The sequence below is a fragment of the Homo sapiens genome, chromosome 16, assembly GCF_000001405.40.
Source record: "Homo sapiens chromosome 16, GRCh38.p14 Primary Assembly".
In the NCBI taxonomy this organism is placed as follows: domain Eukaryota; kingdom Metazoa; phylum Chordata; class Mammalia; order Primates; family Hominidae; genus Homo; species Homo sapiens.
Window position 1 is genome coordinate 20,395,826 of NC_000016.10, and position 10,186 is coordinate 20,406,011.

The 10,186-nt window shown below is 47.2% G+C and overlaps 1 protein-coding gene across 4 annotated transcripts in view; it reads right to left on the reverse strand.

Moving 5' to 3' along the window:
- The window catches only part of PDILT (protein disulfide isomerase like, testis expressed), a 45,563-nt gene extending 36,651 nt beyond the window's left edge, over positions 1 to 8,912 (reverse strand). For all 4 annotated transcript variants that reach the window (XR_950754.2, NM_174924.2, XM_011545765.2 and 1 more), the window contains exons 1-2: positions 8,671 to 8,912; positions 3,274 to 3,482 (exon numbers count right to left, since the gene is read on the reverse strand). Coding sequence is in view for 3 of the 4 variants with exons in the window: in NM_174924.2 (NP_777584.1) it covers positions 3,274 to 3,475 (202 nt within the window). In the remaining variant the exon portion in view is untranslated. The remainder of the gene's footprint in view (positions 1 to 3,273; positions 3,483 to 8,670) is intronic.
- Positions 8,913 to 10,186: the final 1,274 nt, after the last annotated feature.

Sequence of the window (10,186 nt, forward strand, 5' to 3'; positions counted from 1 at the left end):
CTCACACATGATTGCTGCACACACCAGCTCCCCCTTCACCTTCCACCATGAGTAGAAGCAGCTCGAACCTTTCATCAGATGCCCAACTTACAACCAGCAGAGTTGTGAACCAAATAAAGCTTTATTGTTTATAAATTACCCAGCCTCAGGTATTCCTTTGTAGCAACACAAACAGACAAAGACATCACCATTAGCAGATTCTTAATTACTTGTAGTTGAACTCTGTCTTAACTGACACAGGGTTGATGAACTGCATTTGCCTCAGTGCCACAGGGTAAGGGAGAATGGGAACTCATGTTTATTGAGCAACTTCCACATGTCAGGTGATAACCTCTCAGTTAATCCCTATAATGACTATACCACTTTCAATATTCTCGCTTTACAGGTGAAAGTGAGACAACAAGAAACTCACCCAAGGCCACATATCCAGTTTATGGAAGAACTCGGCTTTACACTCAGTCTTGCCTGGATCCCAATATATGTTACACCAAACCTTGATGTTGCATAAGAACCAAGATGCATGAATGATTCAGGTTAAGAGAGATTCTTTAGAACTTACTAATGCTTGGCATGAGGTCTTTGATTAAATATTGATATCAACAACCATAAATTTCAACGACTTCTACTAACTCTTTGGCTTTGATTATCTATCACTGGGCATTACGTGGAAGCCCAACAGATGCTGTCTCTCACTTCAAGGCAAACTTCAAGCTTCCAGATGCATTTGCATTGGCCTGGGAATCCCTCGTGCACTCAAAGACATGAGGGAGCAGGAACCAAGCCAGAGAACGTCACTCAGCTGCTGCAGTTGAAAGAATCACTTCTGAGGACAAGTTCAAACCATTACTTCTCCACTTCAGAGCACCCAAAGTATACAGTTTAGACTATTTTAATTGCATGACTTTATCACACTTTGTTTTAAAGGGTTTCTCATGCCTTGTGACATTCCTGGCTTAAACTGTAAAGTCCTTGAGAGCAGAAACCAAGACACTCATAGAGCCCACCCATTGCCTGGCATTGAGCTGCATAAGTGTGGGGTGAATAAGAACCCAATGGTGATAGCTTCTGCCTGTGGAGTGCCCCCTGTGACAGGGGACTGCATATCTGAGCCCACTTTCATCACCACAACAACCTGCAAGGGAGGAATTATTAACCTTGTTGTACAGGTGAGAAAACTGGCGAGGATGATGATAGTGGAAGCCAACATCTTCTTAAGTTCTTATTACGCATCAGTCACTGTGCTAAGCACATTATTTCACTTAATCCCCACAATAACCCTAGGAGTTATAAATTTTATGTATGTACATATTTATTTATTTATTTATTTTGAGACAGGTTCTCGCTCTGTCAGCCAGGCTGGAGTGCAGTGGCATGATCACGGGTCGCTGCAGTCTTGACCTCCTGGGCTCAAGCGATTCTCCCACCTCAGCCTCCCAAGTAGCTAGGATTACAGGTGTGTGCTACCATTCCTAGCCAACTTTTGTATTTTTCTTTTTGGTAAAGATGGGGTTCTGCCATGTTGCTCAGGCTGGTTCTTGAACACTTGAGCTCAAGAGAGCTTCCCACCTCGGCCTCCCAAAGTGCCAGGGTTACAGGCATGAGCTACCATGCCCAGCCTATAAATGTTATTAAATTCCCCATTTTACAGTCAAGTAAACAGAAGTTCAGAATGCTCAAGATCACCAGCCCAAGGCCACCAGTCCAGTAAGTGGCAGAACTCAGCCTTTGAACGTAGGACTGTGAACCCCTGAAGCTGACCTCATCACACTACATTGCACTGGTTGGACTAGAAATAAAAGGGAGTCTGTAAATGGTTCTGGTCAGAGGGCAGCACACAGAGAAGGGAGAAAGGGCTGTCTCAGAACAACAGCCGCGAGGAGGAGCATAGGGGAGTGTGGGTGGAGGGGCAGCTTGGGAAGCAGGTGAAAACCAAGAAGGGAAAGGCACCCTGCCTCCCCTGCCCTGCTCTTCCCTGGAACCTTAGGCTCTGCCTAGCCTCTGGGAACCTGGTGCTGGTCAGGCACGTCCTGGAAGCAGGCCTTAGGGACTGACACGGAGCCAGCAATTTTCCAGGAGTGGCTCTGAACACAGGATTCCAAATCCAGTGTTCACACCTGCGGTCTAATTCTCCAAATCCTACCATACAGAACATGGGACAACATGGGGTCTGTGGTCGCCACTTGTGCTGTGTGACCTTGGGCAAATTGCTGATCCTTTCTGAGTTTCTGTTTCCTCAACTATCAAATAGGGAGATGACTAGTACCCATCACACGGGGTTGTGAGGATCAAATGATGTCACATTTAATGAAGCACTTAGGACAGTGCCAGGCACACCATGAATGCTCACTATGGGGAAGTTGTTATGAAAATCCCTTACATTCTGTCCCAGGGCATGGCTTGGTCCCAATGCCTCAGGAAGAAGCAGCCTGCTCTGTCCCCCAAAATGTCTGCTGATGCAAAATGTCCAAAGAACAAAAGTGGCCATGCAAATCTGACAGCAAGAGTGATGGTCTCGGCTGGGCACAGTGGTTCACGCCTGTAATCCCAGCAGTTTAGGAGGCTGAGGTGGGCAGATCATTTGAGGTCAGGAGTTCGCGACCAGCCTGGCCTACGTGGTGAAACCCTGTCTCTACTAAAAATACAAAAATTACAAAAGTTAGCTGGGTGTGGTGGCGGGTACCTGCGATCCCATCTACTCAGATGTATGAGGCATGAGAATCGCGTGAACACAGGAGGTGGAGGTTGCAGTGAGCTGGGATTATGCCACTGCACTCCAGCCTGGGAGACAGAGCAAGGCCCTGTCTCAAAACAAACAAAAAAGTGACGGTCTAAAAACTGTCTCCAGAGCTTGCCCCAGGCTGCCATCATTTATTTCTCTCTAGATGTGTTCCAGGAACTTATCACATCTCATTTAATCTTCACTATAATCCAGTGTGTCATTAGGTTCACACCCATTTTACAGAGGAGAAAGACTGAGGCTCGGAATAATACAGACACCTCGGGTTAAAGCCTGGCTCCTCTTCAGTGGGACAGAGGAGCCACATACAAATCCAAGACTACAGGGATGGCATAATATATTGCAATTTGCTTAACCTCCCTGGAGTATTCTCATCTGGAGATTGGAGATGATGCTGTCTATATATATTAAATGTCTGTTTTAAATAATATGTGTTCTTATGTGTTTAGCAATATATAAAACTCTTCTGGTCCCCACACACAAGGAGGCAGGCCTCATCCCATCTATCATCCATCACCCAGGATGGGGGCACTCACGGAAAAGCACCATGAGGAAGCGGGTCTGGTTCAGCATCTGGGTCAGGCCAGCGGGCGTTAGCACTAGGAGACTGCGTTCCTCCAGGATGTGCACAGGCTTGGTTATGTGGATGCTGGAAACACCGGCGTTAACCTCTGGTGAGCTGTGGACAGCAGAGACACAAGCGGCCACCAGCAGCAGGGGCATCCAGAGTAGGTCCATGGCTGTCCTGCAGGGGCCGGAGAAGGAACAGAGACCTTATCAACACAGGTGGTGGAGCCCCACGTCATCACCCCCACTTCCTTGTCCAGCTGGTCCATGTAGGGTGAATGTGGCCTGAGCATTGCCTCCCAGCAATGCCTGCAGCTTGGCAGCAGCCCTGGAGAAGAAGCAAAGTATTAGGTCGACCTCAGGCCCAGTAGTGACTGTATGGGGAAAGCTTAAAGCAGCAAGAACCCACTGGGAGCAGCTGGATGCTGAAGCAAACGCAGACCACTCAAGCCCACTGACTTCCCAGCCACGAGGTGAGACTTGTGCAAAGATAAGGTCCCATTTCAGAGTCCTAGGGTGAGCCTCTGGATCTCAGAGATAACTGGTTCAATCCCCCATCACAGCCCCCCAGGAATCCCCCTGCCTACAATGCCCCCACTTCACCCTCCTCCAGCTCCTGCTTGAATGCCCCTGTGAAGGGAAGCTCACTACCTGCAGTGTACCCTGTTTAATTTTTGAACAAATTTTATCAAGTGTAAATATTTAAAAAGTCATAACTATAATACACACTTGTAAAAGTTTCAAGCAATACAATACAAATGTCAAGAAGGAAGTAAAAATCTCTCCCATTCTCTCACTGCTGAGAAAGTGACTCTTAGAGAAGTATGGAATGAATCCTTACAGATATTGAAAATATCTATGTAAACATACCTTTGAATATATCTCTATCTATCTATCTATCTATCTATCTATCTATCTATCTATCTATATATATATATATATATTTTTTGAGACGGAGTTTTGCTCTTGTCACCCAGGCTGGGGTGCAGTGGCACGGTCTCACCTCACTGCGACCTCTGCATCCTGGGTTCCAGAGGCTCACCCTAGTGATCCTCCCACCTCAGCCTCCCAAGTAGTTGAGATTACAGATGCCCACCACCACACCTGGCTAATTTTTGTATTTTTAGTAGAGATGGGGTTCCACCATGTTGGCCAGGCTGGTCTCGAACTCCTGACCTCAAGTGATCTGCCTGCCTCAGCCTCCTAAAGTGCTGGGATTACAGGCATTATCCACTGCACCCAGCCTGAATGTATATTTTTAAATATAAATGGAATCAGATGATACTTTTTTTTTTTTTTTTTTGCAGCTTGGTTAGCTCTTTTTAACCCTGGATACACATGAAAATCCTCTGGGGAGCTTTTAGGAGAATACTGACACTCAATCTCACTCCAGACCAATTAATTCAGAATTGCTCAGGATGGGGTCTGGATACCTACATGTTTCAAAAGCTCCCCAGATGATTCTTTTGTTTTATTTCAACTTCTATTTGGGAAATTTTGAATATGTACAAAAATAGAGAGATGGTACAAGGTACCCCCAAGGTACCCATCACTCAACTTCACTTATTGTCATGACCAATGTTATTTTATTTATATTCTTGACTCCCTGCCTTGGATTATTTTGAATCCATTCTGGGAATCATGTCATTTCACCCATAAATATTTTATTATAAATATTTAAAAGGTAAGGATTTTTCAAAACAACACAATAACCACAATACTATGATCATACTTAATGAAATGCACAATAATGTCATCATATCATCAAATATCTAGACAGTGTGCGAATTACCCTGATGGCCTCATAAATTTTAAGTCTGTTTAAATCAGGACTCAAATGAAATCCATGAATTGTCATTGCTTGTTTTGTCTCCTGAGCCTCTCCCAGGTAAATCTATCATTCAGTTTGTAGCTTGAGAAGCACATGGTCAAATGAAACCAACAAAGGGCAAGTGGAGAAAAGGAAGAAGGGCAAGTGGATAACCTGGTTTTCTGGACAGCTAAATGATACAGACCATTTAAATCTGTGTCTCAGCCAAAGGGCTCATTACTGTCAGCCCAGCCTTGAGTCCTTGATGATCTCAAGGTCCCAGAATTCACCAGGTGTTATGCCACTTATCAGCCCGGACTAAGTCTGGTACAGCATGATGACTATTAGGTAGAACCCTTGTTCTTAGAAATAATTTACTTCCTTGTTTATTTGTTCTTTGATTCACTTACTTGTGAGAGAAACGGCTGCCTAAGAATTCTTTGCCCAGCTGGAGACATCAAAGTACTAGAGAGTTAGTTTTTATTCTACAGAAAGTCACTTGAATAACCCCTCCTTTGTGACATAAACGTAAGGTAGGGAGGGTCACCCAGAACCGTCCTAGGCCTGACAGTCCCTTCAAACCTTCCAAACCTCCTCGGTGCCCAGAATCCCTTGCCTGGCAGGAAAGGGCCAGATCTGCAAAAGCCTCAAGGGGCCTTCAGAGAAGAAACCTTGAAATTCAAGATTGTGAGACCATCTCTGAGGGGTGTGGATGGCACTTGCTGGAGGACAGAGGACACTGGGCCAGTGACCCTGAGTCAGCTGGACACCTTCAGGGTACAGAGCTGAACCATGGGCCCAGCTCAGCCACCGTGGAGGGCTGAGCCTCTGAGCAAAAGCCAGGCGGGAGGAGCTACAGTGGGCTCCCTCTCATGTCCTCGTCTCCCAGGCCTTTGGCAGAGTGTTCGCCCTGAGTTCCTGATCAAGGAAGGGGCAGTGGGAGGTGTCAGGTTTCCTGCTAACCTGGGCAGGCTGGATCATAAGCCTCAAATGTTTCCAGTGATTCATGTCCAACAGGACGGAGATCAAGCCCCACTGGCTAGTGAGCAGAGCCCTCCACAGTCGGTCAGACTCTGGCCACCAGGCTTCCCTTTGGCTCCACGGAGCCAGCCACAGCTCCTCTTTACTCACTTGCTCACTCATTCATTCATCAAATATTTTTGAAGTCTTAAAACATGTTAAGTACCATTCTAGGTGCTAGGGATACAAACAATATTCCTTACATCTTAGTAGTGGGAAATGCAGTGAGATAAATAGATGCAATCAATGGTGTGTCAGATGATGGTAATGCAAAGGAGAAAAGGTGGATAAGAGAAGATTCAAAAGTGTTGGAGTCAGGGAGGAGTGTTGATCTTTTCTTTTCTTTTCTTTTCTTTTGAGACAGGGTCTCGCTCTGTCGCCCAGGCTGCAATGCAGTGGCGCGATCTCGGCTCTCTGCAACCTGCGTCTCCCTGGTTCAAAGGATTCTCCTGCCTCAGCCTCTGGAGTAGCTGGGATTATAGGCGCGTGCCATCATGCCCGGCTAATTTTTGTATTTTTAGTAGAGACAGGGTTTCGCCATGTTGGCCAGGCTGGTCTGGAACTCCTGACCTCAGGTGATCCGCCCACCTCGGCCTCCCAAAGTGTTGGGATGACAGGCATGAGCCACTGTGCCTGGCTGATATTTTAAAATAGGGTGACCGTGGGAAAGCTTCATTTAGAAGTTGACATTTGACTAAGGGAAGCAAAGAAGTGAACTACTGTATTTGCATTTCTGGGAGTGTGGGAGAAATAGTCTCTCTCTGCCCTGCTGCTGTTTTTTCTCCCAATCTCTCCCACAATACCTGGCTCAGCTCTGCAGCATCCCAGGGCTCCCCTGAGACTGTAGCATCCACCCTGTCCAGCCCTGGGACTGTGCTCTCAGCCATCCTGCCTGCAGCCTGCCCTGACCTGCCCCTTTATTCTCTCAGCCTTGGCCCTTGGTTCTGCCGGCACCTGCCTTTCTAGCCTGACACCACTGTGGCTCCGCTGTGTCCCCCAGCCTCACAAAGTCCAAGCTCAGCTCCAACATCAGCTCCCTACCCCCTACTCAGAGGAGAGTGGCTGTCATGGGAAACTTTTATTAATGAGAATAGCCAAAATCGAGGGGCTGGTCACCAGCCATATTGTGCTGAGTGTCAACTGTGTGCATTCCCTCCACATTCTCCCTGTGTGCATTCTCCCTGTATGCCGTGGAGAGACCCCATGTCCCAGCCACTGTGGTTTCCCGCCAAGAGGGTGTGGTAACCTCCTTACTGATCCTGCCTCTGCTTCTACTCTTTGTGCTTCACCTCAACCCATTCCCCACACAACAATCAGACATTTCCTTTATTTTTATTTTTATTGTTTGAGACAGAGTTTTGCTCTTGTTGCCCAGGCTGGAGTGCAATCACATGATCTTGGCTCACTGCAGCCTCCGCCTCCTGGGTTTAAGCGATTCTCCTGCTTCAACCTCCCTAGCAGCTGGGACTACAGGCACCCGCCACCATGCCCGGCTAATTTTTGTATTTTTAGTAGAAACGGGATTTCACCATGTTGGCCAGGCTGGTCTCAAACTCCTGACCTCAGGTGATCCACCTGCCTGGGCCTCCCAAAGTGCTGAGATTGCAGGCGTGAGCCACCGTGCCCAGCAGAGATTTCCTTTCGACACAGGAATTCCATCACACCACTGTGCCTATCAAAAGGTGCTCACTTTTGTGCAAAAAAAAGCTTCTGCCTCTTTTTTTTTTACAATCCATTCGCAAAACCGCACACCAGCCAAACTGTTCTCTGTGGTCTACCAGGCCCCACTGGCTCTGGACCCATCTGACCTTATCGCCCTCCTCTCTCTCTCTCCTCCCGCACTCTGGGGAGCCACACTGGCCTCTTCCCTTTCCCAAGCACACCCTACCCGGGGCCTTTGCCTCTGTCTGGGGCACCCTTCCCTCACATCGTCAGCCTTTTCTGGTTCTCTGGGTCCTAGCTCGAATCCACGCTCATCAGAAGGGTCTTCCCGGGCCACTCTGTCTCACCCCATCTCAGCTTTCAGCACTCTCTGCCATATCACCATTGTTTGCATCATATTTTGTATTATTATTTATGAGTGTACTTTGTTGTTGTTGTCATTTTGAACTTTTTAATGTAAATACCATTGTTCACAGCTGTTTTCTCCCCTTCAGAACAGTGCCTGTACCAGATTTGGAACTCAATGAATGTTTGTTGAATGAATGAATGAATGGCCTAATTTAACTCTTACAGCAAACCCCATTGGTTCATTTCAGTGGTTCTCAACCATGACTATGCTGAGAATCTCTTGGAGAGTTTAATAAAAAATACTGATGTTCAAACCCAAACCCAGTAGGTTCTAATTTAATTGATCTGGGGTTGGGTGAGTCTGGGCATTATTATTATTTTTTAAAATCCTCAAGTTGATCCTAATGTGTAGCCATCTATACACCAAAACTGACACTTAAAACTTAAACTGGTGACTCCTGGTAGAGAAAAGCCTCCCAAGGCAGGGCCCATCAGTCAGATTTCCCATTTTCACTGAAGCTCATACCTGCAGGAAGCCAAGGCCACTCCCAGGGTTCCTGGGGCCAAGGTGGGGCTGTGCTGGGGGTGGGGCCACAAACTCTGTGGCCCTTAAGAAGGAAGGTTGTAGCCTGAAGAGGAGGCTCCTGGCTTCTCCTTGTGATCAGGGCAGGACCCGCAGACGACTGGGCATTCTAAAGAATCCACAGGCAGAAATGAAGTCCCTTCCTGGGCACACAGAGGCCACAGCAGCCTCAGCAGCAAAGTTCTGAGTTCTGGGGTTCTAGAGGACCAGGGGTGACCCTGTAGAAGAATGGGCCATTGTTGAGTAAGAGGGGGCCCTGCCTGGCAGCCCTTGCTGAGTTTGCTTGAGGGGCTAGAAACAAAACTCAGTGTGGGGTGCTGGGTATGGCCCAGGAGGGCTCTGAACTCAGTGCCTATAGATTGGAATTTGAATCCCAGCTCTGTCTTGAACAGCTGTATGGCCTTGAGAATGTCACTTACTCTTTCTGAGGTTCAGTTTCCATGCCTGTTACATGGCATCTAACTCATGGGGGTGTTGTAAGCAAAGTAAATTATGTGGAATTTAGAAGATAATTAATGATATGAAGAAAAATAAAACCTGGAAGGATGATGAGGAACGCCTGAGAGGGGGATGGGATAAAATAAGAGGATTTATGCAAAACGAGCAGCTCAGTACCTAGAAGGCAGGAGCCCCTCACGCATCACCACCCTGGCCTCATCTCCTAGGGGAGAAAGATCTCCACTCACCCTGCTCCAGCCACACTGGTGTCCCTGCCAGTCCTCCAATACAATGTCTGGGCCTCTACACTTGTGGTTTCCCCTGTTAGGGAGGCTCTTCACCCAGGTGGACTCAGGGTTCACCCCTTAGCTCGTTCCAGTCTTTGCCCAAATGTCACTTCCACAGTTGGGCCTTTCCTGGCCACTTTGTTTAAATTTGTAAGTGCCCCATCCCCCTCTCAGGCGTTCCTCATCCTCCTTCCAGGCTTTATTTTCCTTCATAGCATTAATTTTCTTCTAAACTCCACATAATTTACTTTGCTTACCTGGTGATAGGTGCTCAGTAAATATTTGTTGAATGAATAAAGAAAAGGCTGTTGATATTATTAGCATCGTTATTACTGTCAGAGTTTGCAGCCTTTGGCTATCTGCTGCCCAACTGTTATTAAATACTGATGGAGATGACTAACATTCATTTCACTAAATTTTAACATCTGTGGGTTTTAGTCCTAGCGCTTTGCTCTTCTCTTTCTTTTCTTTTTCTTTGAGACAGTGTAGTGGCGCGATCTCCACTCACTGTAGCCTTCACCTCCAGGGTTCAAGCGGTTCTCCTGCCTCAGCCTCCTGAGTAGCTGGGACTACAGGCATGCACCACCACGTCTGGCTAATTTTTGTATTTTTAGTAGAGACGGGGTTTCACCACATTGGCCAGGTCGGTCTCAAACTCCTGACCTCAAATGATCTGCCTGCCTCGGCCTCCCAAAGTGCTGGGATTACAGGCGTGAGCCACGGCATGCGGCCCC